The 27,428-nt window shown below is 40.8% G+C and overlaps 1 protein-coding gene and 1 non-coding gene across 5 annotated transcripts in view, besides 2 other annotated features; one reads left to right on the top strand and one right to left on the bottom strand.

Annotated features, from left to right (window-relative positions):
- TYW1B (tRNA-yW synthesizing protein 1 homolog B) overlaps positions 1-27,428 on the top strand; it is a 253,688-nt gene that overhangs the window by 128,579 nt on the left and 97,681 nt on the right. For all 4 annotated transcript variants that reach the window (NM_001412180.1, NM_001412179.1, NM_001145440.3 and 1 more), the window contains one exon: positions 4,800-4,935. In NM_001412180.1, coding sequence (NP_001399109.1) covers positions 4,800-4,935 — 136 coding nt within the window. The remainder of the gene's footprint in view (positions 1-4,799; positions 4,936-27,428) is intronic.
- On the bottom strand, positions 1,644-1,719 carry MIR4650-2 (microRNA 4650-2). The gene has a single exon (NR_039794.1). It is a non-coding gene; the product is annotated as a microRNA 4650-2 (primary transcript).
- Positions 7,956-8,156: a silencer, noted in NCBI's record as "peak6582 fragment used in MPRA reporter construct". NCBI's record gives its function as "represses an SCP1 promoter by STARR-seq MPRAs in K562 erythroleukemia cells {active_cell/tissue: K562}" and the evidence as "EXISTENCE:reporter gene assay evidence [ECO:0000049][PMID:32103011]".
- Positions 16,679-16,828: an enhancer, noted in NCBI's record as "active region_26118". NCBI's record gives its function as "activates an Ori minimal core promoter by ATAC-STARR-seq in GM12878 lymphoblastoid cells {active_cell/tissue: GM12878}" and the evidence as "EXISTENCE:reporter gene assay evidence [ECO:0000049][PMID:35858748]".

Genomic DNA, 27,428 nt, shown 5'->3' with positions numbered 1-27,428 from the left:
AAGTCAGATTCTACTTTGAGGTAAGTATGTCTCCCAACTTAGAAAAGCAACCTTTCGGTTATTAGAGCTTTTTGGATTTTTAAATTGTGGTTAAGAGGTTGTTGGATTGGTGATAAGTGGGAGGCACAGGGGAGCCAGATGCAGAACGGTGCACTGTGCTGGCTTTTTAATCCGTCCATCACACTGGAGCCACGTGACTTTCATCAGCACTGATCTGACTGTGTCACTGGCTACATAAAACTTCAGTAAGCCAAACCTAACCCTGGCAGGACATGAGACCTGGCTGCAGGCATCCCCCAATTCCATTTGCCATGTTAGAGCCATGGGGGGATAGTTTGTGATTCCTTTATCCTGCTGCATCTCACAGCTGCGGGCCTTTGCATTTCTTCTTTGGACATCCCTGGAAATGATCTCATTCTCTTCCTGATGAACTCTGTGTCCTTCAGAGATCAGCTTTGACTTTGACCTTGTTACGTCTTTTGTATGATTTTGCCAAGCAAAATCAACTCACTCCTCCATTTATACCCATTACATTTTCCCCACCTTAGTCATGGCGCTGCGTGGTGGGACTCTCATCCATCTTCTGTTCCCTCCAGAATGTAAATATTAAGGGCTGAGCCTCTTGGCCTCAGTGTCCAGTTCGTAGTAATCCCTGAATAAATGTTGAATGAAGTGCATAAGCCCCTGAAGAGAATTAAGTTCAGAATTTCTTCCTGAGGACTTGTTGTTTTGGCTTCTCTTAGGACTTTGCAGTCAGAATCTGCATTTCACAGATCATCCGTATTCTCTTGGATTTTTCATTTATGGAATACTGTTTGTTACATGTAACCGCTGTGACTTGAACACTGAGCCACACTGTGGATTTTGCCATCATGGTGCAGGGTTAGGAGAAAGGCTCTGGGTTCATCTCTGGACTTGAATCTCCTTGATGCTTACTGTTTTTCTTTTCTTTCTTTCTTTCTTTTTTTTTTTTTTTGAGATGGAGTCTTGCTCTGTTGCCCAGGCTGGAGTACAGTGGCGTGATCTCGGCTCACTGCAGCCTCCGCCTCCTGGGTTTAAGTGATTTTTGTGCCTCAGCCTCCTGAGTAGCTGGGATTACAGGCATGCGCCACCATGCCTGGCTAATTTTTGTATTTTTTAGTAGAGATGGGGTTTCACCATGTTGGCCAGGCTGGTCTCGAACTCCTGACCTCAGGTGATCCTCCTGCCTCAGCCTCCCAAAGTGTTGGGATTACAGGCATGAGCCACTGTGCCCGGCCTGATGCTTATTCTTTATAGATCCTTGCACATGTTACTTAACCTTTTGAACCTCAGCTTCATCGTCTCTAAAATGGGCATAAGTAGCAACTACATGGTCATTTTATTGTGAGGATTCAGTGAACTGATCAAGAAGGGTAAAGCACACGGCAGAGTGTGCCAGCTCGGTGAGTGGTAAATAATTCTCTCCTTCTCTTTCACCCTCCTCCTCTCTTCCTCCTGAGCTATTTGGCTTGTTCTGACAGCCCCAGATTGTCTTAGAGATTTAGGTTTTAATATCATTGCTTGTTTGGGTCACTCTGCTTATTTTTTTTTATCCCAAGGAGGAGCTTCAAAGTCACTGTTTACTTGAATTTCTTACAAACATAAATCTCTCTCCTTTTTTTTCCTGCAGATATGTCAGGCCTCATTCTACCTTCTGAGCCTTGGAAGGTAGAAAGAGGCCTGATAATCTCTACAGAAAGGCAACATGGGAGAGGGATTTTTATGTTCATCAGCACATTTTTATATATGATAATTCTTCACTCAGAGATTTAAAATTAAGATGAAGGGTCCTTACAGTACTCACATCAAGAATCCTGGGGCATTTGTACAGAGGATTGGGCTTAAGGTTGTCTATCTTAAATATTGTCTTTTTTTGGGAGAGCAGAGGATATCCTTTTTAATTACTCCCAGCAGTGCTGTGAGATTCTCAGATACAGGAATTATTATGGTGATTTTGATGATGTAAGACTTTTTTGCTTTTTGGGAACATTTGTTATCCTGTATAGAATAGAGACAGATAAGTGACTCTACTGGGAGCCTCATTATCTCTTCTGGGTGAATAGAGACCAGTGTGAGGCAGAAATAAGATCCCTAAAGCTCAGAAAACATCTCCAAAAGTCTCTTTGCTAATTTTGAGCCCCTTAGAAATGAGCTCTGTAATTCCTGGGGACCTTTTCCTCTTCTCCATTCTTCCTCTGCTCCTTGACGAGAGATCTGTAGACTTCCTTGAGTGCAGCATCTCAGACATCTGGTATTGACTAGAATTCCTTATTGGACTTCCTTGGGTGTAGCATCTCAGACATCTAGTATAGGCTAGAATTCCTTAGTAGTAGTATCAGTGTCCAGGCCTTCCTATTTTGTAAATGATAGAGGTTTGTAAAAGGAGTATGGCCTTTGGAATGTACTGTTCATAATCTTAAGTAGTTATGGAAGCATAGTGAAAAGGTCAGGGCAGTTCTCATTTTGCATCAGGAAGCTTTTGACAAAGTCCTGTTAGTTATCAGATGATGATAGCCAGCAGTAACCATTAAGACAGTCCTTTTTTTTTTTTTTTTTTTTTTTTTTTTTTAAGTAGAAATCCAGTTAAGGAAGCATAGCTTGTCTTTTATTAAAGAGGCACTCAGCAAAGGGGTGATGAGACAGAATGCTGTTATTACTGATGCTTTTGTTTTACATTTTCAGTAATTAACGTGCTTTGCTCAGTAGTGACACATTACCTGAACTTCAAAGGATCCCCTTAGTACATCGGTATTGCAGAGGCATTAAAGCAATGAGAGCCTGCCAGGATCTTAATCACCTCTGTCCTACATTTGGTCAGAGCCTCTCCACTTTTAACAGAAGTGAACAGAAGTCTAGACACTTGTGATTTTTCTATATATCACTAAGCCACATCATTGCAAGCATCTGTTTGGCCTATATTCCCTTAAAAATTCTGTCTGCTGAAATCAACAATATCTCCTAAAAAGTAGCTTTAATATCTGCCTGTGTGGCTGGATAAAAAGAAAAACAGGATTCTTGCTCTTCAAGATCTTACACTCAAAGATTGATAAGGCTGCTACTGATACGTATATAAAGCACATAAACCATTTTAAAGTGGTGAATTGTATGGAATGTGAATGATATTTTCATTTTTTAAAAATGCATGGACTTTGAAACAAAAAATGCATAAAACTTCTAGGTGGAAATGTGGAATAAATTGTGGAATCCTTATAGAAAAAGAATATTGGGAGAATTTGATCAGAAGATGATTAAGGGGGAATTTGTTTTTTCTAGTTCTAAATTTACTGAAGAGATTGAATTATGAGACCTATTTGAAGAGAGAAGGGGAGAGGCTTTAGAAAAAGTACAGTCTAGGCCAGGCACAGTGGCTCACGCCTGTAATCCCAGCACTTTGGGAGGCCAAGGTGCGTGGATCACCTGAGGTCAGGAGTTCAAGACCAGCCTGATCAACATAGTGAAACCCCTTCTCTACTAAAAATACAAAAATTAGCCGGATGTGGCAGGGTACACCTGTAATCCCAGCTACTTAGGAGACTGAGGCAGGAGAGTCACTTGAGCCTGGAGGCAGAGGTTGCAGTGAGCTGAGATTGCACCACTGTACTCTAGCCTGGATGGCAGAGGGAGACTCCATCTCAAAAAAAAAAAAAAAAAGAAAAGAAAAAGTATAGTCTAGGTTTAATGTATAACTTGCAAGAAATCTAGTAGGGTCGGGTGCAGTGGCTCACGCCTCTAATTCTAACAGTTTGGGAGGCTGAGGTGGGTGGATCGCTTGAGCCCAGGAGTTCCAGACCAGCCTAGGTAACGTAGTGGGACCCCTGTCTCTACAAAAAAATTTTAAAAATTAGCCGGGCGTGGTGGCACATGCATGTGGTCCCAGCTACTTGAGACACTGAGATAAGAGGGTCACTTGAACCTGGGAGGTTGAGACTGCGGTGAGCTGTGATTGTGCCACTGCACTCCAGCCTGGATGAGAATGAGATCCTGTCTGGGGACTGGGCCGGGGGAAAAGACCTAGTAGGAGAAGGACCTACTAGAAATCTAGTAGGTAGGAATGAAATTATGAAATGAGGCAGTGAATTTGAGAGAAGCGGAGAATGAGTGGTATTCATGGAAACTGATTGTAAAGGCAAGGAAAATAAGAATTCATTTTTTTCTTCTGGGCTGTGCTCCTGTGTAAGTATGAGGTTTCTACTGTTTTAGGTCTGCACTACATAAAGTTCCCCAGATGGATCATTGTTTGCCCACCCAAGGCTTGACATGAAACCCAGTCCTGCTTATGGAAGCATAGGTGTGACTCAGCGTCCTTTGAATAAGGCCTGAGCTTTTGGGATTGTTTCTTGTTCCTTAGAAGACTTCCGTCAGTGATTGATGGAGGGAGGTGGCCCAGCAGCACAGACCCCATGTGGTCGGCAGAGTGTGTGGGTGGGAAAGTTAGATCAGAGAGCCCCTCTAATTGTGCTGGGCTGATGCTGTCATACCTGAAGTTAGATCACATTTTGTTTATTTTCCATTCAAACTTAGTATTTGAAGAAGGGCCAATTTTAAGTAATTCAATATTTTCAATGTATTAGGGATGGTTTCCAGTCATTTAAAAAACAACCAGAGGCCGTCCCATTTTGTCACATGATTAAAATCATTAGTTCAGTCTTTTGGGGGAAGTGGAAGTCTCTAGACCCTGTGAAGTGTTTAATACCCATGTCTATTACAGGTTTTATATCATGGAAAGCCTGATAGAGGAATAATTTTTCTTTCTTCCTTTAAAAAAAAAAATTACTAAGGAACCTCGAGCCAGTTACTCAGCTGTATGTCAGTGTGGATGCCAGTACCAAAGACAGCCTGAAGAAAATCGACCGCCCACTCTTCAAGGATTTCTGGCAGCAATTCCTTGACAGTTTAAAAGCCTTGGCAGTCAAGGTAAGAATTATGACATCTTAAAAATAAATAAACAACCCTCAGGTGTGTACTGAAGTTAAGAAGAAAGAAAGATGGAAGAAAAGAACAGAGGTACTTTTTCCTCTTTTCTCTTTAAAATAAAAAAAGATGAAATATAGCGTTCAACTTTTTAGAGACTTCTTCAAGGAATTTTGAACATTTACTATTTGTTAAATAATTATTGAGTTCTTCTTAAGTTTGTAGCACAATGCTTTGTATGTATCATTTGCCTTTCATTCATTTAAGGAGAGGGGTATATATACTCCCAAAGTTAATTAATAACAATTGGTCCTAGAACCAATTCCCCATAGATACCCAACCCGGAATCTATGGAAGATTGGTTGTAGGACTCCCCATGGGTACCAAAATCCACAGATGCTCAAGTTTATATAAAATGGCATAGGCCAAGCATGGTGGTTCACGCCTGCCTGCAAACCCAGGACTTTGGGAGGGTGAGGCAGGCGGATCACTTGAGGTCAGGAGTTCAAGACCAGCCTGGCCAACATGGTCAGACCCCATCTCTACTAGAAATACCAAAAAATTAGCCAGTTGTGATGGCATGCACCTGTTATCCCAGCTGTTTGGGAGGCTGAGGCAGGAGAATCACTTGAACCTGGGAGGTGGAGGCCGCAGTGAGCCAAGATCATGCCACTGCACTGCAGCCTGGGTGACAGAGTGAGACTCTGTCTCAAAAAAAATAAATAAATAATAAAAATAAAATGGCATAGTATTTGCACATAATCTACACTTATCTTCCTGTATACTTTAAATCATCTCTACATTACTTATAATATGTAGTACAATGTAAATGCCATGTAAGTGGTTGTTATACTGCATTTTAAATATTTGTGTGATTTTTAATTGTTTTATTTTTTCCAAATATTTTTCATCCATGGTTGGTTGAATGTGTGGAAATGGAGCCCACAGATATGAAGGACCGACTGTACGTAACCACCTTAAAAGAGGCGTCTGCAGGCCAGGTGTGGTAGCTCACACCTGTAATCCCAGCACTTTGAGAGGCCAAGGTGGGCAGATCGCTTGAGGTCAGGAGTTCAAGACCAGCCTGGGCAACATGGCAAAACCCCGTCTCTACCAAAAAACAAAATACAAAAATTACCTGTGGTCCTAGCTACTCAGGAGGCTAAGGTGGGAGAATCACTTGAGCCTGGGAGGCAGAGGTTGTAGTGAGCCGAGATTGCGCCACTGCACTCCAGTGTGGGTGACAGTGAGACCCCTATCTAAAAAAAAAAAAAAAAAAAGATGTCTGCAAATAGTATACGTTTAAATATAAAGTTAATTTTCCTGAATTTCTAGAACCAAATTTCCTAAGCCATCAATAGCCTCAGAATGTTCACATTGAATGTCATTTTCTGCAAACATTTGGCCTTTCTTGTGTGTTTTCATATGGCATACTTAGCTTCCTTTTCTTTTTCACCTAAAGTAATCATCTGGTTCTGCTTTTCCATTAATCCTCCTTCTTTCCTTCCTTGCTTCCTTTCTGTCACTTTTCTAAGCGTTCTTTGTGCCTTCTTGACATCTGACTGATAATGAGAATCACCCCAGGAGCTTAAAAAAATGACAGTTTCCTGGTCCTCATGGCATCTGAGATCTGCTTGTTAGACATCCCAGGCGTCATTTGGTATGCAGCCAGATATGGGAGTCACTGTCCCAGAAAACTTGCCTTTCTCTCCTGTGCCCAGCGCTTACTTTGACATTCCTAACCCATCACTGTCTGGCCTCGATGTACATTTCCTGGCTCATTTTTCACCTTATTCCCCAGGAGGGCCATGCTTCCCTGCTTACGTTGCCATTTCTGCACACGTGCCCACCATCTTCTCCCTTCTGAGTCTTCGGTTACTGTCTCCCCAGATTTTGGAAGGAATGTTCTTTCTTTCCATTCTTTGACTTGTAGAAATTCTGTGCACCTCCTGGACCCAGTTTTGTGATTACCACTACTGCAAAGTCTTTTCTGATTACAATTAGCTGCCCCTTTTTCCCTTCCTAAGTTTTATATCTATTAAAAAACACTGTTTTTCTTCTGTTTTGTCTTAGCTGCTCTCTCCTGAGCTGGATTCCTTCCTTATGTCTGAATTCTGCACAATGTCTAGCATAGTACACTTTAAGGTATTTGATAAATGCTTCCATTTTTTTCTTGGAGACTGGGTCTTGCTCTGTCACCAAAGCTAGAACACAGTGGCACCATCATAGCTCACTGGAGCCTCCAACTCCTGGGCCCAAATGATCCTCCTGCCTCAGCCTCCCAAGTACTGGGACCACAGGCACATGCTGCCATGCCTAGTTAATTTTTTGATTTTTTTTTTGTAGAGACAGTCTCAAACTCCTGGCCTCAGGCAATCTTCCTGCCTTGGAAGTGTTGGGATTATAGGCATGAGCCACTGCTCCAGTCCTGATAAATGTTTCTTTTTTTATTTCTTTCTTCTTTTTTTTTTTTTTTTTTTTTTTGAGATGGAGTCTCTTTCTGTTGCCTAGGCTGGTGTGTGGTGGCGTGATCTTGGCTCACTGCAACATCTACCTCCCGGGTTCAAGTGATTCTCATGCCTCAGACTCCCCAGTAGCTAGGATTACAGGTGCGTACCACCATGCCCGGCTAGTTTTTGTATTTTTAGTAGAGATGGGGTTTCACCATGTTGGCCAGGCTGGTCTCAAACTCCTGACCTCAAGTGATCCGCCTGCCTCAACCTCCCAAAGTGCTGGGATTACAGGTGTGAGCCACTGCACCCAGCCTGTTTCTTAAAAGAATGAATGGGTGGAAACTCAACAGAGATTTGTAAAGTACTATATGTGTTTTACCAGTTGTCCAGCCGATTAAGTCTTTGTGGGTTTCTTTTGCTGTTTTATGCCCGGGAAGTTAAATCCATGCCTTCTTTGGTTATTAATACTGATGTTATTTAAGAAATGCAAAAAGGCCTCTTTAGTTTCTAAGCGGTCTTGGATTTACATAGCATAAAAATTAGAATGGATTTAAATGGGAGTAAACAGCAGGAGCTTGCAAAGTCAGGCCCATCTGACATTGTTATCTAGGCTGTGTTCTTTGAGTATGGAAAATGACAAGGAAACATTAACACAATAGCTTAATAGTTTACTTCCTGTCTTTGGTCAAAATGTTCCAAAAACTGAATTCTTACCTTGAAGTCACTGGCCTTTGGGTGATGAATTCAATTGTAATCACTCTGGGTTTGCTCATGACAGTAATGCAGTAACTTAAAGTTAGAAAATAATTTCAACCCAGGAGCATCTTAAATAGAAGTCATTATTGTCTCTATGTAATTCTTGTTGGAATGTTTCTTTGGGCAATTTAAACTGCCCACACATTAGGGCAGTGACTTTCTGAGCATTTTGTAGCAATTAGAGTTGTTGTTTCTCGTTCTTGGCATTGTTTTTGTTGCCTTGTGAGAGAAGATGTGTGGCAGGATGCTGCTCTTAAAACTTTTCCTTTAAATTGACTCAAGCTGTTACTTCCTTCTGAATGTCTGATCTTATAAGACATAGTAGATGCTATTAAGAAAGATTTGTTTTACTGTTGTTTAGCACTTAAAACATATATTTTGTAGTTATATGGGTTAGCTAGGGTCAAACATATAAAAACTCAAATGCTGGCTGGGCGCAGTGGCTCACGCCGGTATTCCCAGCACTTTGGGAGGCTGAGGCGGGCAGATCACTTGAGGTCAGGAGTTGAAGACCAGCCCGGCCAATATGGTGAAACCCCGTCTCTACTACAGATACAAAAAAACAATTAGCCAGGAGTGGTGGCAGGTACCTGTAATCCCAGCTACTCGGGAGGCTGAGGCAGGAGAATTGCTTCAACCCGGGAGGCGGAGGTTGTAGCGAGCCGAGATCACACCATTGAACTCCAGTCTGGTCAACAAGAGCGAGACTGTCTCAAAATAAATATATTACAATAAAAAATAAAAACTCAAATGATACCAGATTACTATAAATAAGAGTGTTATTTCAGATATTTTAATTAGAACATCCATACTGTTATCTTCTGTTATTTGATTAGACTTTTACTATGCCTGAGCAAGGAAAGGCATTTGAAGAGAATTTCTTAAACTTTATAAACAAAAAATTTTGATTTGTCCCAAGATTTTCAGCCTATTTCTGATCTAGTACTACCCAAAGAAGAAGGTAGCATATTTTGTTTTTAACTCTTGGCAAGTACAGTGTTTACATTTCCAGATCTTTATCCTTTGTCAAAATGTTCCTTTTCAATATGAGGAGAGAAATATATTGGTACTTGAGTATGTGGGCTAAAAACCACTTCCATCAAGATACCAGAGTAAAAAATGTGTTAGCTTCAATTTCCGTCCACGATAGCTACTTGTCAAACAGTCCTTTTTTTAAAAAAAGAGAAATATATCTTATACAAGAAAACACTGCCAGCTTTTAGCAGTAAACTTTTATCAGCAATGTGACCAGATGTGTTTCTGCTGAACTATGATTATGCCAAGGTCAAGATCCAGTAGTAAACTGAACTATTTAATTCTTTTCTCTGTTTAAGTAATAGCATTAACATTCTTGAAACCTCATATTTAAAAAAGAAAAATGACCAACATAATTTCTTGCATTGCACCTTAACAATGACCATTGGCCCTCTCTCTACAGATGTTAGGATACTCTGACCTGACATCATTATTTGAATAATGGTTGTTCCATTGTTACGAAGGGCTTATTGTACATTAATGAGATAGCCCTCTATCTAATATTTAAATAAACCAATTTATGTGTGTGGCCCACAATTTGCAAATTAAAAAACAAACATTTCACATTTGACCTTATATCAGATTATAAAAATATTATGTGCTGCTTATGGAAATTTGGGGGAAGTAAAGAGAAATACAAAGAAGCAAGGAAAGAAATACCTATAATTCCAGGACCTTAACACAGTAATTAACATTTGAAGTACTTCTACTTAATCCACTGGGGGAGGGCATGCTTTTTTGCAAATTTAATTCCATCTTATATGTTACTTTTGTTTTTGTTTAACATCGTGTCATAAGTATTTTTCCTTGTCATTACACTTCTCTATGACTGTCATGTTAAAGACAGTGTAGTCATTCATCCTGCTCAGTTTCCTGCTTGTTGGCCAGTAGTAGGGAGCAGCAGGAGTGTGTGATGTCCCAGCATCCTTCCCATCCTAGAGGCCTGACAGTCACATTTTCTGTCCTTAGCACACTGAGGACAAAGTCTCAGCTACTCCCAAGTTGCAGCATGCACATTTTGTCACTTTTGAACATTTTGAAAATTGAATGCAGCCAGAAATGACATGTTGCATTTAATTGGTGGCATTGAGACTTTCACAAAGGAGAAAAATAAGATAATGATACATTAAATCATGGCATGGCCTTTATCCTAGAGTTTCTTGTAGTCGATGAAATATATCTTCTTCTTTCCTTTCCTTTAGGATGAGCTCGTCTCCGTTTCATGGTTCTGACAAGTTTCCCTTCTTATTGACCTATTTGGTTTATTTCCACCTCTCATCATCGGTGCCAAAGTCTATTCTTGAGCCTTAACCCATCTGGCTAATCTGGATATCTGTTTCCTACCACTTTTTTGAAGGCTTTAACTTTCATGTAAACCGTGGGACCCCTATCCACAGGCATAGATCCCCCAGGGCTGATTCCATTCAGCTTGGATTTAATGCCATTTTACCCTGCTCTGCTTAGCTAAAATGTTATCCTGCTTTCAGCCACTTCTGAAATCAGACAAGACTGCTGTGCTTGATTTGTGCAAATGTGTTGTCTAAAGCCAGTGTCTGCAAGCTGGCTAACTCCTTAGTAAACTGGTTCCCTCCAGACCTTTTACCTAATATCGTTTTAGAGAAATGTAAGTGTATTGCATCTTAAGTTCGTGTTGAGGCATCAGGTAATGTCTAGTGGATAATAGCTTCTATGGGTTTGGAGACTCAGGAGAACATTGGGGAAGGAATACCGGGGTAGATCGGAAAGTCATCTCTTTAGCAACGGATTGTAGTTAAAGGCAAGTAAGCAGATGGGATGACCCAAGAAGTGCCTAAAGAAGGCAAAGAGGGAGCCTGCGGGAACAAAAGTGTTGAAGCTTTCAACGTGAAGCACATAGAGAGTGAGTCTGGGAAGAATTTGATAAAGATATTGGTTCAATTCCATGCAACTCAAGGAAACAGTGAGTTTCCAGAAAGATTACCAAGTAAAGGTACGACAAAAAAGAAAACAGCTTTACCAGTTGGTCTTTAATTACTATGTCAAAAAGAAAGTATGGTGCAGTGTTTTGTGTGGAAGCCATTGTATGGAGGGATGAATGGGAAAGATGGAAATGGGGAGAGCAAATAATAGATCTGAATGTAATGAATACTGACCTTTTGAACCAAGAGTATCAATAATAAAGAAGTCAAAGGCATTTCCTTTCATCAGCTTAAAGAATTGCATAGCATATCTGCTAAAAACTTTACATTTAGAAAATAAATATTGAAGAAAATGACTCATACTTTACCAGAATTCAAAGGTAAACAGTTACTATATTGTATTACATCTTCTACAGTTTTTATGCATGTTCATACATATGTGTCTATATTTCACTTATAAAATTGAAATCATGTTGTACATATTTTTGCAACTATATATATGTTATTAATTATTATTATTTTTGTGGAGATGGTGATTTCATTTTGTTGCCCAAGCTGGTCTTGAACTCCTGGACTCAAGCAATCCTCCTGCCTCAGCCTCCCTAGTAATTGGGATAGAGATGTGCTCCACCACACCTGGCTAAAAAATTTTTTTTTGAGAGATGGGTTCTTGTTTGTTGCCCAGGCTGGTCTTGAATTCCTGGTTTCAAGTGATCCTCCTACCTTGGCCTCCCAAAATGCTGGGATTACAGGCATGAGCCACTGTGCCTGGCCTTCAACTATATTTTTATATAGTTTATATATTATGAACAATTATGCCAACTTTTATCATCGTAGATTAATTTTGCCTATTATTGAACTTTTGAATTTATTTTTGTTTTGCTTGTTTTTGAACTTTATATAAATGAAACGATTGTTTATGCCTTTGTGTCTGATTTCTCAACATTATAATATAATAACTCAATTATAATATTATAATAACATTCAACATAGTGTTCAGAGATTCCTCCATGATTTTGCAAGTAATAGTGGTTCTGAATACAAGTCCAGATACAGGTACTGAATATATCTTCTCCCAGTCTGTCTTTACCAGTTTATTTATTTTATTTTTTTGAGGTGGAGTTTCACTCTTGTTGCCCAGGCTGGAGTGCAATGGTGTGATCTTTGCTCACTGCACCCTCCGCCTCCTGGCTTCAAGTGATTATCCTGTCTCAGCTCCCAAGTAGCTGGAATTACAGGCATGCACCACCATGCCCAGCTAATTTTGTATTTTTAGTAGAGATGGGGTTTCACCAGTTTGGTCAGGCTGATCTCGAACTCCTGATTTCAAGTAATCCACCCATCTTACCCTCCCAAAGTTCTGGGATTACAGGCGTGAGCCACTGTGCCTGGCCTGTCTTTGCCAGTTTAAACTCTTAATATTGCTTGATAAACAGAGCTCCTCATTTTAACAAAGTCTAGTTTATCACTTTTAAAAAAGCATATGTTTAGTGCTTTTCCTGTCCTATTTGTGAAATCTTTGCCCACCCCAAGGTCATGAAGATAGTTTCTTATGTTTTCCTCTTTCAGAAATGTTGTTATTATTATTTTTCAATTTGGTCTGTGAATCATCTGAGATTAATTTGGGGTATTGCATAAGGTAGGGGGTCTGGATTTTTTTTTAATGGACTTTATATTTTAGAGCAGTTTTAGACTCAAAACAAAATTGAGCAGAGGGTTCAGAGATTTTCCATATCCCCCCTATTCCATGCATGCATACATTACCTCCTTATCAACATCACCCACAAGAGTGGCACATTTATTATAACTGATGAACCTACACGGATCCATCATTATCAGCCACAGTCTGTATTTTACATTAGGGTTCATTGTTGTGGTTGTACATTCTGTGGGTGTGGACAAATGTATAGTGACATGTATCCACCATTACAGTGTCATATGGGGTAGTTTCACTGCCCTAAGAATCTCCTGTACTCTGCCTGTTTATCTCTCCCTCCCTCATCCCTGGCAACCATGGATGGATCTTTTACTGTCTGCGTAGCTTTGCCTTTTCCAGAATGTCATATAGTTGGAATCATACCGTATGTAGCCTTTTCAGATTTGCTTCTTTCACTTAGCAATATGCATTTAAGGTTCCTTCCATGTGTTTTCACATGGATAGTTCATCTCTTTTTAGAGCTAAACAATATTCCATTGTCTGGATGTACCACAGTTTATTCACCTACTGAAGGACATCCTGGTTTCTTCCAAGTTTTGGCAATTTTTGAACACAGCTGTTATAAACATCTGTGTGCAAGTTTGTGTTTGAATATAAATTTTCAGCTCCTTGGAGTAAACACCAAAGAATGTAGTTGCTGGGTAGTTTCATAAGAGTATTGTTTAGTTTTTTAAGAAACTGCCAAACTGTCTTCCAAAGTGGCTGTACCATTTTGTATTCCCATGAGCAATGGATGAGAGTTTCTGTCACTGTTGTTTCATTTTGCATTCCCCTGATGACAGGTGATGTGGAACATTTTTTCATATGCTTATTTGCCATTCATATATCTTTGAAGAGATGTCTGTTATGGTCTTTGGCCCATTTTTAATTGGGTTGTTCATTTTCTTATTGTTGAGATTTAAGAGTTCTTTGTATATTTTGGAGTCCTTTATGAGATACGTCTTTTGCAAATATTTTCTCCCAGTCTGTAGCTTGTCTTTTCATCTCTTGGCAGTGTCTTCTGCAGAGCAAAAATGTTTAATACTTACTAAATTTTTCTCTCATGGGTCATGCCTTTGGTTTGCTATCTAAAAAGTTATTTCCAAATCCAGGGTCATCTAGACTTTCTCCTGTGTTATCGTCTAGAACTCTTACAGTTTTGCCTTTTACATTTAATTTTGTAATCCAGTTAGAGTTAATTTTTGGGAGAGATATAAGGTGTTCGTTTAGATTCTTTTTTTTTGCATGTGGATTTCTAGTTCCAGCACTATTTGTTGAAAAAAATTATCTTCTCCCCATTGTATTACTTTTTTCTCTTTTGCTAAAGATCAGTTGACTACATTTGTGTGACTCTTTTCCTGGGCTGTATTCTGTTCCTTTGGTCTATTTGTCTGTTCTTGCAACAATATCACATACATTTCAGGGGATCTGATATAGTTGGATTAACATCTACTGTATTTGTTAATGTTTTCTATTTGTTGGTCTTGTTCTTTGTTTCTATTTTTGTATTCCACATTTTTTCTTTTGTGGTTTTGAGTATGTTAAATATGATTCCATTTTCTCTCCTTTCTTAGCATATTAATCATACTTCACTTGTTTTTTTTTAGTGTTTTCCCTAGAGTTTGTAATATAGGTCTACTAGTAATTGAAGTCCATTTTCAAAGAACACTATATTTCTTCCTGAGTAGGACAAGTACTTTATGATAACAAAATAATCTTTTTTCTTTTTTTTTTTTTTTCGAGATTGAGTCTCACTCTGTCATCCAGGCTGGAGTTCAGTGGCCTGATCTTGGCGCACTGCAACCTCCGCCTCCCAGGTTCAAGCAATTTGCCTATCTCAGCCTCCCAAGTAGCAGGGATTACAGGCACTCGCCATTACACTTGGCTAATTTTTTAAATTTTTATTAGAGACAGGGTTTTACCATGTTGGCCAGGCTGGTATTGAACTCCTGACCTCAAGTGATCCGCCTTCCTCGGCCTCCCAAAGTGCTGGGATTATAGGCTTGACCCACTGTGCCCAGCCTCCTTACAATAACAAAATAATCCTGATTCTTCCCTCCTGTCCTTGTATCATTGCCATCACTCATTTTACTTATACATAGGCATGCATAATCAATATATTGTTGCTATCTTATTATTTTGGCCAAATTGCTATCTGTTAGATGAATTAAGAATAAGAAAAATAAACATTTTTATTTTACTCCTTCTCTGATGTTCTTCCTTTCTTTTCTTAGATCTGAGTTTCTGACCTATATCATTTTCCTTTTCTCTGAAGAGCTTCTTTTAACATTTCTTTCAAGGAAGATCTACTGGCAACAAATTCCCCCAGTTTCCGGTTGTCTGAAAAAGTATTTCTCTCTCAGTGTTGAAGGACATTTTCATAGGGTGCAGATTCTAGGTGGTGATTTTTTCTTTCAGTACTTAAATATTTCACCCTGCCGTCTCCTTGCTTGCATGGTTTCTGGGTAGAAGTTGAAATCATTCTTTCCTTTTCTATAGATAAGGCTTTTTTCCCTCTGTCTTCTTTCTGGATTTTGTTAAATATTTGATTTTCTGTGGTTTGAAACTTACATGCTTATCTATAGTTTTTCTGGCATTTATCCTACTTGGTGTTGTGGGAGCCTCCTGACAAACTGTGGTTTGGGGCCTGACATTAACATGGGGAAATCCTGAGTCATTATTTGTTCAAATACTACTTTTGTTCTTTTCTCTCTTTGTTTTCCTCTTGGTATTCCTGTTACACATACATTACACCCTTTGTAGTTATCCCACAGCTCCTGAATATTCCATTCTGGTTTATTTCAGTCTTTTTTCATTTTGCTTTTCAGTTTTAGAGGTTTCTGTTGAGAATCCTTAAACTCAGAGATTTCGTCCTCAGCCATGTCTAGTCTCAAGGCCATTCTTCATTTCCAAAGTTAGAGTGTTTTAGAGCTCCAGCATTTCGGTTTTGTTCTTTCTTAGGATTTTGATCTCTGTTTACATTGTCCATCTGTTCTTGTGTGCTGTGTACTTTATCCACTGGAGCCCTTTGCATCTGGTCGGGTTATCCCAACATCCCTGCCGTGTCAGAGCCTGGTTTGGATGCTTGTGCTATCTCTTTAAACTTTGCTTTTTGCCTTTTAGTGTGCCTTGTAACTTCTTGTTACTGAATGTGATATCCTGGGTAAAAGGAACTGCTCTCACTAGACCTTTAATAATGTGATGGTATGGTATATGGGGAAGGGAAGCATTCTGTAGTCTTATGATTAGGTCTCAGTGTTTTGTTTTGTTTTGTTTTGTTTTGAGTCGGAGTCTTGCTCTGTCACTCAGGCTGGAGTGCAGTGGCACGATCTCGGCTCACTGCAACTTCTGCCTCCCAGGTTCAAGCAATTCTCCTGCCTCAGCCTTCCAAGTAGCTAGGATTATAGGCACCTGCCACCATGCTCCACTAATTTTTGTATTTTTACTAGAGACGGGGTTTTACCATGTTGGGCAGGCTAGTCTTGAACTCCTAACCTCAAATGATCCACTTGCCTTGGCCTCCCAAAGTGCTGGGATTACAGGTGTGAGCCACTGCGCCCAGTCTAGGTCTCAGTCTTTTAGTGAGGCTGTACCCCTGGACTGTGAACTTCACAAATACTTCTCAGTTTTTTCTTCCCCGTTGGGACAGGTTGGCTAGAGTGTGCTGCAGTTGGCTATTTCCCTTTTCTTACATGGAAGGCCGGCGCTGGCTGGAGTTGGGTATTTCTCTTCCACTTGGTTAGTTAGGCTCTGATAAAACCAAGCAAGTTAGGTTCTGGTTAAATCGGTTCTCCTGAGAGCAGACCTTGTTATCAACACAATGCTCTGACACATGTCAAATGGTTCCTGTTTCCCTCCCCTTACCAGAAGCACAAGGGATTTCCCCCTGTATATTCACTGTGAGAATCTGGCAGAGCTCCAGTAGGTAAAACTCACAAAAGTGTAGGGCCCCTAATGACTGGATCTGTCTGGAATTTTTATGTGTCAGACTTGTCCACACTGAGCCTCCAGCACTTCGTCAATTACAGTTCAGTTTCCCTGTGTTGGCGCTGGTCTCTGTGGAGGTTTCTGCTCCTGTTAAGTTGTGATTCTCTGTGCCTGCCTGTTTTTCCCTCCAATTATGGGGACAGCAGGTTTGCCCTGTGACCTCACTTCTCTGATGGATCTAAGAACAGTTGTTGATTTTTCAATTTGTTCAGCTTTTTACTTGTTAAGACACAGTGATGACTTCCAAGCAACTTTCTTGCTGCATTGGAAACTAGAAGGCTCGTAGGGGTTAATTTTAAGTTGTAAAATCTGATAGTATAAGGCTCACAGCTTTTTTCTTTAAGACCTAGTAATTTTTGTCTTTGTGAATTCTCCTTTTAGTGTCATGCTTAGACCCTTAGGATATAAAAATTCTTATGTATATTTTCTGGTTCTTTCCTAGCCCAGTTGTTTAAATCTCAACTCTTTAATCCAGTTGGGATATAACTTAGCATTCATTTTTATGTCATTCCCAAGTACCATTTATTGATGAACCATCTTTAAAGTACAGATTTGATAAGCTATCATTACTACGTATTGAAACTTGATATATGTGCTGTTCCATTCCCAGAAGATGCCCTGTGTGTTGATTTCTACTTTTTTTTTTTTGTTAACAGAGTGTCATATCTTTCTATATAAGTAATTATAGGCTATGTGTGGTGGCTCATGCCTTTAATTCCAGCACTTTGGGAGGCTGAGGTGGGTGGATCACCTGAGGTCAGGAGTTTGAGACCAGCCTGGCCAACACAGTGAAACCCCATCTCTACTACAAATACAAAAATCAGGTGGGTGTGGTGGTGGGTACCTGTAATCCCAGCTACTCGGGAGGCTGAGGCAGGAGAATCACCTGAACCCGGGAGGCGGAGGTTGCAGTGAGCCGAGATTGCGTCACTGCACTTCAGCTTGGGAGACAGAGAGAGACTCCATCTAAAAAAACAGACGGCCGGGTGCGGTGGCTCACTTCTGGAATCCCGGCACTTTGGGAGACTGAGGTGGGTGGATCACGAGTTCAGGAGGTCGAGACCATCCTGGCTAACACGGTGAAACCCCGTCTCTACTAAAAATACAAAAAATTAGCTGAGCATAGTGGTGGGTCCCAGCTACTCGGGAGGCTGAGGCAGGAGAATGATGTGAACCTGGGAGGTGGAGCTTGCAGTGAGTGGGGATCGTGCCCCTGCACTCCAGCCTGGGCGACAGAGCGAGACTCTAACTCAAAAAAAAAAAAAAAAAAAAAGAAGTAAATATAACACTCCAACACTCTTCTTACTGTCTGGATAATATTTTTTTAATATGGATTTAACAAATAGCCTCACAAGTCTTATCTTTGGCAGCCTTCCCTAACTCCTTCCCTCCCCTCCCACAGTCTGCATTGGGCACTTCTGGGTGAAGGGTACTTGTGCTTTCTTTTACCACCCAGGACAGCAGGGGTTGGTGTGACTGCTTATTTAATCGTCCTTGCTCTGAATTGTAAGGTCCCCTAGGGAAGGCAAGATGTGTGTTATGCCTTTTTGTTCACTGTGGTATTCAAAGCCCTTAACACGGTGACTGACACATGATTGCCACATAAGTATTTGGTGAACGAGCAAATTGCATTTATCCGATCTCCTCTTGGTGTATATTCTGTTATTTCCCAACAACCTGCTTGGTTTAGTAATTGAAAGCTTGGGTCTCTGAAACAAGGCTACCAAGGTTTGGATACTGGCTCTGCCACCTATTGTGTGTGTAATTTTGGGCAAGGGACTCACTTTTCTCACCTGTGAAATGGGGTAAATAACAGTGCCTACCTTATAGGGTCTAGACAAAAACACCTAGAAACATTACAGTAGGTAATTTTGTTTGAATTTTACAAAATGATGCCCTCTACTATCATTTTTGTGTATATGATTAAATATTTTATACATATGAAAAGATACAGTGAATAAGATAGTAAGTACCACTGTAACTATAGTCTAGCTTAAGAAATAAATATTACAAATTCATTTGCAGTCTCTGTGGACCTCATTTCTATCATACTTCTTTTTCCTTCTCTTTCTTTCAGAGGGAATCAGTATCCTGTAATTGGTGTTTATCGTTCCATATCGTCTTCAGTATTTCATGTTTGGTGTTTATCATTCCATATTGTATTAATGAGGGTTCTCTAGAGGGACAGAACTAATAGGGTAGATGTACATATGAAGGGGAGTTTATTGGAGAATTGACTCGCACTATCACAAGGTGAAGTCCCACAATAGGTCGTCTGCAAGCTGAGGTGCCAGGAAGCCGTTCCAAGTCCCAAAACCTCAGAAGTAGGGAAGCTGACATTGCAGCCTTCAGTCTGTGGCCAAAAGGCCTGAGAGCCCCTGGCAAACCACTGGTGTAAGTCCAAGAGTCCAAAAGCTGAAGATCTTGGAGTTTGATGTTCGAGGGCAGGAAGCATCCAGCACGGGAGAAAGATGAAGGCCAGAAGACTCAGCCAGTCTAGTTTTTCCATGTTCTTCTGCCTGCTTTTATTCCGGCTGCACTGGCAGCTGATTAGATGGTGCCCACCCAGACTGAGGGGTAGATTAGATGGTGCCCACCCAGATTGAGGGGTGGATCTGCCTTTCCCAGTCCACTGACTCAAATGTTAATCTCCTTTGGCAACACCCTCACAGACACACCCAGGAGCAATACTTTGCATCCTTTAATACAATCAAGTTGACACTCAGTGTTAACCATCACACAGGGTCTTGCTCTGTTGCCCAGGCTGGAGTGCCACAGTATGATCATGGCTCACCACAGCCTTGAACTCCTGGACTCAAGCAGTCCTCCCACTTCAGCCTCCCAAGTAGCTAGAGACAATAGGTGTCCGCCACTGCGCCCGGCTAATTTTTGCATTTTGTAGAGATACGGTCTCACTGTGTTGCTCAGGTTGGTCTCGAACTCCTGGCGTCAAGTGATCCTCTCGCTTTGGCCTCCCAAAGTGCTGGGATTACAGAGGTGATCTACTGCTCCTGGCCTATCATTCCATATTTATACTTCACTCTTATGTATAACTCCGTAAGTAACAGAGCATAGTGTTTTCCATATTTTAAAACTTTATATAATAATGTAACCCTATATGTATCCTTATGCAACTTGATTTAATTTTTGACCATTTTTTTAAAAATAAAAAATTACGTTTTTACCATGTTAAAGTATTCAGTTCAGTGGTATCATGTACATTCATATTATATGCAACTATTACCACCATCCATCTCCAGAGCTGTTTCATCTCCCCATTGTTTCCCCCAAACTATGAAACTTCATACCCATTAAATAGTAGCCTCCCTCATTTCTTCCTCCCTGCAACCTGTTTTTCTTTTGTTTGATATTATGCTCGTGACGTATTCACATTGTTATATTTAGCCTTTGAGACTTTGTAACTGCTATGTAGCCTTCTATCCTGTAAATATTCCCTGATGTAGGAGAAATTCATCCTCCTACAGATGGGCATTTGGATTGTTTCACAGTTTCTAACTCTGCAGTGAACATTATTGAGAGTGTCTCTTTGTGCACATGTGCAATAATTTCTTTCGGAACTAACCTGTGGTTGGAAGTTGCTGGATCATAGGATATGTACATCTTAAACTTGAACTTGATTAGATTTTTGTCGCCGTAGCCTGTCCTACATGATTATACTTATGAGACTACTGCATTAAATTTCTATTTTCTATCCTCACGAATACTTGGTCTTGTTAGTTGTTGATTCTATTTTATTTGTTTTTTGAGACAGGATCTTGCTCTATTGGCAGACTGGATGCAGTGGTGCCATCACGGCTCACTGCAGTCTCAACCTCCTGGGCTCAAGTAATCTTCCCACCTCAGTCCCCCAAGAAGCTCAGACTACAGCCATGCACCACCATGCCTGGCTAATTTTTTTGATTCTTTAACTTGTACAGATGGAGTCTCACTATGTTGCCCAGCTTGTCTTAAACTCCTGGCCTCAAGTGATCCTCCTACCTTGGCTTTCAAGAGTGCTGGGATTGTCCGGGCACGTTGGCTTATACCTGTAATCCCCAGCACTTTGGGAGGCTGAGGCAGGCGGATCATGAAGTCAAGAGATCGAGACCATCCTGACCAACATGGTGAAACCCCGTCTCTACTAAAAATACAAAAATTAGCTGGGCGTGATGATGCGCGCCTGTTGTCCCAGCTACTTGGCGGCTGAGCGAGTTTCCATCTCAAAAAAAAAAAAAAAAAAAAAAAGTGCTGGAATTACAGGTGTGAGCCACCATGCCTGGCCATTGTCAGGGTTTTAGGTTTTGCCAGTCTGATTTGAGGTTTTATTTTATAATCCTCCCAGGAGTGGGTGAGCATTTTGTTGTGTTTGGCCATGTCTTTAATAGCCTTTCCATACCTTGCCCATTTCTCCATTGGCTGTTTGCCTTTGTCTAGACTCTTAGAATTCATTCTTTCTGCCTGTAATGGGCTTCTCTATGTTGATATGGTTTGTTTTCTCATTTCCTTCAGGACTCCACTCAAATATCACCTTATCAGAGAGTTAGCCCCTCCTCATCCTGTGGAAAATAATATCCCTCCTCAGCAGCACTGCCCATCCCTCTTTGATTGTTTTTTTCCATAGCAGCATCAGCACCAGACTTGCATGTTATTGGTTTTTATTTCCTTTCAACTGTGAAAGCAGAGACATTTTCTTATTCCCTGCAGTATCCTCAGTGCCCCGGATAGTGCTTTGCCTGTAGTATGCATTTAATAAAAATAGAATTAATATAATAATTCATGCATCCTAGTATTCAGGTTCCCAGAAATGATTACCTTCACCTTGGGCTAGGTGGAGTAAACAAGTGCTAATAGATAAATAAAAGGTGCTGGGTGCGGTGGCTCACGCCTGTAATCTCAGCGCTTTTGGAGACTGAGGTGGGTGGATCACTCGAGGTCAGGAGTTCAAGACCAGCCTGGACAACATGGTGAAACCCTGTCAGTACTAAAAATACAAAAATTAGCCGGGCATGGTGGCAGGCACCTGTAATTCCAGCTACTCAGGAGGCTGAGGCAGGAGAATCACTTGAACCCGGGAGATGGAGGTTGCAGTGAGCCAAGATCACGCTACTGCACTCCAGCCTGGTGATAGAGCAAGACTTCATCTCAAAAAAAAAGATAAATAAAAGGATACCATATATCCACACAACTCTGTGAACCTTAGCAGGGTGCATGTCGGAGAACCCAGGGAAAAGCAGAAAAAGTTTCTGCTAGGCCAGGAAGCGGAAGCTGTCAAAGATACAGGTAGCCATTTTTCATTCCGCCAAGGGCTCCCAACCTCCCTCAACTGTATAAAAACTCAGAATCCTGGAAATCAGGAGACAAATGTTCCATGCCCATGTGTTTTTTTATAATTGAGGTATAATTTACATATCATAAAGTTCAGGATGTGGTGGCTCACGCCTGTAATCCCAGTACTTTGGGAGGCCAAGGTGGGAGGATTGCTTCAGCCCAGGAGTTTGAGACCAGCCTGAGCAACATAGCAAGACCCTTTCTCTACCAAAAAAAAAAAAATCAACCAGGTGTGCTAAGGCATTCTTGTAGTCCCACCTACTCAGGAGGCTGAGGTGGAGGATCAGTTGAGCTCAAGAGGCCGAGGCTGCAGTGAGCTATGATTGTGTCACTGCCCTCCAGCCTAGGTGACAGAGTGACACCCTGTCTCGAATGAATGAATGAATCAATGAATACATGCATACATACATACAGAGAGAGAGAAAGAAGAAGTTCACCCTTCTAAAGTATGATTTTTAGTATATTCACAAGCTTGTGAAATCATCACTACCTAACTCGAGAACATTGTCATCACCCCAACCAAGTTTCTTTTTGAATATGATGTTAAAACAGTTTTTTGGTTTGTTTGGTTTTTTTTTTGAGACAGTCTCTCGCTCTGTCACCCAGGCTGGAGTACAGTGGCGTGATCTTAGCACACTGCAACCTCCGCCTCCTGGGTTCAAGCGATCCTCCCACCTCAGCTTCCCAAGTATCTGAGATTACAGGCACATGCCACCACACTGGCTATTTTTTTGTATTTTAGTAGAGATGGGGTTTCCCCATATTGGCCAGGCTGGTCTTGAACTCCTGGCCTCAAGCAATCCACCGCCTCGGCCTCCCAAAGTGCTGAGATTATAGGCATGAGCCACCACGTCCAGCCAAAAGTTTTTTTTTTTAAAGCCTTTATGGTTTATGCTGAAGCATCCAACTAACTGGGTTTCTCTGTAAATAAAGCATGTGCTCACTCCCAGGGCTGCTGCTCTTCCAGCACCTGGCCAGCAAATCCACCCTGCCCAGGTATGGCAGCCCCACCAGTTCCTGGTGTCTGCCCTGGGAAGCCAGTCACTGTACCACTCAGGGTTTGCTGTTGAGACTCTGCTGTGTTTCATTATTGAACTAAATATAGTGTACAGCAGACATTGGGTCCTGCAGAGAACATTCTTATCATAAGTTCTTTTATTTAATAATCATAGCTCTAATAGCTAACATCTGTTAAACAACCTCTTACTAAATTCTGGTACTGCTAATCCTGAGTACGTATCATCTTATCTTCATACCTTTTATATGAGTCGTAGATATTGTTCACCTTGTTTTACAGACGAGGAAATTGAAGGTCACAGAGCTGTTTGGCTTCATGGTATATTTTTATTATCTTTTAGCACTTGTTTATTTGACATAGCCCAAAGTGGAGGTGATCGTTTCTGGGAACCTGAATACCAGCCACTAAAATCAAACTGGTATTTGAACCCCTGTTTAGCCCCAAAGAGCTTCAGTTTGTTAACCATAACCGTTTCCAGAACACAGAAGTTAGTCCTGCTACCTAAAGTTATCATTTTTCCTTCTCTTATTTATTCTTTGAACCAGAACAGCATAGTATGTTTCCATGTTATGTAGTGTGATGTTAAGATTTTCATGGGTTAGCGTATGAAACTATTACAGTTATGAAATATTATGTAATAGTTATGAAACTATTACATTATTCTGTAATGATCTGTTGCCAAGGTATTATTAGTACTAGAGGAAGATTTCATCTGATCTGAATAATCTATTATAAATTGGCTTTTTTTCACATGAGAAGAAAATTGTTTTGTATTTAATCATTGTAATTAATAATGTGACATTTAAAGTGTTAGCTGATGAACTATGATGACTGTGGAGTAGTGTTTGTAATTTGATGAAGCGTAGATCCACATACCATATATTAGTATGTGTGTGTGTATATACAGTGCATGTGTGTGTGTGTATATATATATATGTGTGTGTGTATATATATATGTGTGTATATATATATATATATACTGACATCACTGTATTAGGGCAACATAAAAATACTAAAACTATTGACTGTCAAAACTAATAATGTGTAGTTGTCCTTTTCCAGTTGACTTAGTGATTGGAAAAAATTGCAAGTTTTCCTGTTTTCTTTTTTTAATTTTTTTGAGACAGAATTTCACTCTGTTGCCCAGACTGGAGTACAGTGGCACAGTCTCGGCTCACTGCAACCTCCACCTCCTGGGTTCAAGCAATTCTCCTGCCTCAGCCTCCTGAGTAGCTGGGATTACAGGTGCCTGCCACCACACCCGGCTAATTTTTGTGTTTTTAGTAGAGACGGGGTTTCACCATGTTGGCCAGGCTGGTCTCAAACTCCTGATCTCAGGTGATCCACCCACCCCGGCCTCCCAAAGTTCTGGGATTACAGGTGTGAGCCACCGCACCTGGCCTTTGTTTTGTCATTTTCCTACAGGTTTTTCATTGGGAATCGGTTGTTTCAAGCAAACTCCTTCCTCCAGCACTTTCTAGAAAGAAAGATGCTAGAACTAAAAGTTATTCTAAGCAGGTCCTTGGAATTCCCACTTATTTGCAAGTCATCCCTTATTTTTTGGTACTCTTTTTATTCTAAGGCTAGAAATCCGTTTCTAAGGACAAGTATAGAAAATTTTAAGCCAGCCATGGTGGCTCACACCTGTAATCTCAGCACTTTGGGAGGCCGAGGTGGAAGGAACTCTTGAGCCCAGGAGTTTGAGACTAGCCTGGGCAACATGGCAAGACCCCATCTCTTTAAAAAAAAAAAAAAAAAAGAGAGAAAAGGAAAATTTGAAACTGTGCTTTTTAAAAGATTATATTTGATAGCCTACCTAACAGGAAACAATTCCGTGGGGTAAAATGCTTTTAAGCACAGGAATCAACCTTAGTTGGAGTGGAATGATTCAACACTATGTGGCCAGTTTAAACAAGGCTCTGGGAGGCGTGGTTGGGTGACTTGGTCTGCGTGGCTGAGCATTACAGCTTCTCTATATGGAAAGATTGGTGTGTATGGAGGTGTGGATTAAGACCTAATTAAAAAAAAAATCTTTGAGTTGGAATGAAACCTATAGGAGGAATCCATGAAGACACCCTGCATCAGACATCCTGTCTGAAGGGCCTGGTTTTCTCATCTCTGTGGTGCTTAGTAAGTGTTTCTCTAAGGAGACATCACAGCCACTGCCGAAAACAACCTCATCTTAGCAGCAGAGAGAGGCCCACAATGTCACACCATGCACTTCTTCCTCTTGATCCTAGGGTACCGAAAAAGACTTTTGGACTAAGAAACCTGGGAGGTTGCTGCCAATCTGGACTAGGCCTTGTGCTCTTGTTAATGCTTAAAGTGACTTTCTGAGAATGGGCTGGCCAGCTACCTCCTTGTGGCTAAGGGCTTGCTTTGCTGACACTCCACACTTCACGGAGAGGAGTGGGGTTGTACCATCCCCTATGAAGCCTAGGCAGTGTCCTAGCAAGCCATCTGTATGATGCCCACAGGGAATGGTGGGTATTGAACTGGTAGTCCTCCTGGTTTCTCTGCTTCAGGTGTTTATTCTCTAGACCAGAAATTACCTTTTTAAAAAAATAATAACTCTATGAAGGAGGAGGGTTCTAAAAAGAGTTTTGTTTTTAAATTTAAGTTTTGTGGGTACATAGTAGGTGTATATATTTATAAGGTACCTGAGATACTTTGATACAGGCATATAATATGTAATAATTACGTGATAGAAAATGTGGTATCTATCCTCTCCAGCATTTATCCTTTGTGTTACAAACAATCCGATTATACTCCTTTAGTCACTTTTAAATGTACAATTAAATTAAGTTTGACTATATAGTCAACCTGTTGTGCTATCAAAGACTAGGTCTTATTCATTTTTTCTATTTTTTGTACCCATTAACCATCCCACCTTCCTCCCAACACCCCCACTACCCTTCCCAGCCTCTGGTAACCATCCTTCTACTGTCTGTCTCCATGAGTTGAATTGTTTTGATTTTTCGATCCCACAATTAAGTGAGAACACGTGATGTTTGCCTTTCTGTGCCTGGCTAATATCACTTAGCATAATGACCTGCAGTTCCATCCATGTTGCAGATGACAGGACCTCATTCTTTTTTTATGGGTGAATAGTACTCCATTGTATATAAATACCACATTTTCTTTATCCATTCATCTGCCATTGGATACTTAGGTTGCTTCCAAATCTTGGCCATTGTGACTAGTGTTGCAATAAACATGGGAGTGCAGATGTCTCTTCCGTGTTCGATATACTGATCTGAAAAGAGTTTTGATACAAATATATGTAGTATATAAACTTCTCTAATGCCTTACTTCAAAACCTGTAGTTATTTGTGGATCTTTTTATTTTATTGAGACGGAGTCTTGCTCTGTCGCCCAGGCTGGAGTGCAGTGGCCGATCTCGGCTCACTGCAGCCTCCACCTCCTGGGTTCAAGCAATTCTCCTGCCTCAGCCTCCAAGTAACTGGGACTACAGGTGCACGCCGCGACACCCGGCTAATTTTTGTATTTTTAGTAGAGATGGGGTTTCACTATGTTGACCAGGCTGGTCTCCAACTCCTGACCTCAAGTGATCCACCCGCCTTGGCCTCCCAAAGTGCTGGGATTACAGGCATGAGCCACCATGCCCGGCCTATTTATGGATCTTTTGAAATCTTGAGTTTCTAAAATAGAGCAAGTATTTGTAATCTTTGAAACAAAATGTACACACATGTGTATGCACACATACATATGCATGCACACATATGTGTATATATGTACATATATACTGTTGTCTCTCAGTATCTGCAGAGGATTGGTTCCAGGACCCCCATGGATACCAAAATCTACAGTTACTGTCCTGCAGTTCACCCTGCAGAACCCACAGATATGAAAAGTTGGCCTTCTCTATTCGAGGTTCCTACATCCCTCGAGTACTGCCCTTTCTATTTGCAGTTGGTTGAATCTGCAGATGCTGAAGGAACCCAGAAATATAGAAGGCTAACTGCATATTACATACCTGTGTATACAGGTGTGTGTGTGTGTGTGTGTGTGTGTGTGTGTGTGTTTGTGTGTGTATGCCCAAATAAATTCAGGTCCTCAAACTGTAATGATCACCATATTTAAAAAAGATTTCCCTCTTAAAATTATCTTTTTTTGTGAATCATCATTTTGCTTCATGCTCTGTTAATGTAAGAGGAACAGAATCCCTTGGGTATTAGTCCATTTTCATGCTGCTGATAAAGACACACCCGAGACTGAGCAATTCACAAAACAAAGAGGTTTAATGGGACTTACAGTTCCACATGGCTGGAGAAGCCTCCCAATCATGATGGAAGGCAAGGAGG

The sequence above is a fragment of the Homo sapiens genome, chromosome 7 (assembly GCF_000001405.40).
Source record: "Homo sapiens chromosome 7, GRCh38.p14 Primary Assembly".
In the NCBI taxonomy this organism is placed as follows: domain Eukaryota; kingdom Metazoa; phylum Chordata; class Mammalia; order Primates; family Hominidae; genus Homo; species Homo sapiens.
The sequence above is the reverse complement of the archived record's forward strand: the minus strand, read 5'-3'. Positions and strand labels throughout refer to the sequence as shown.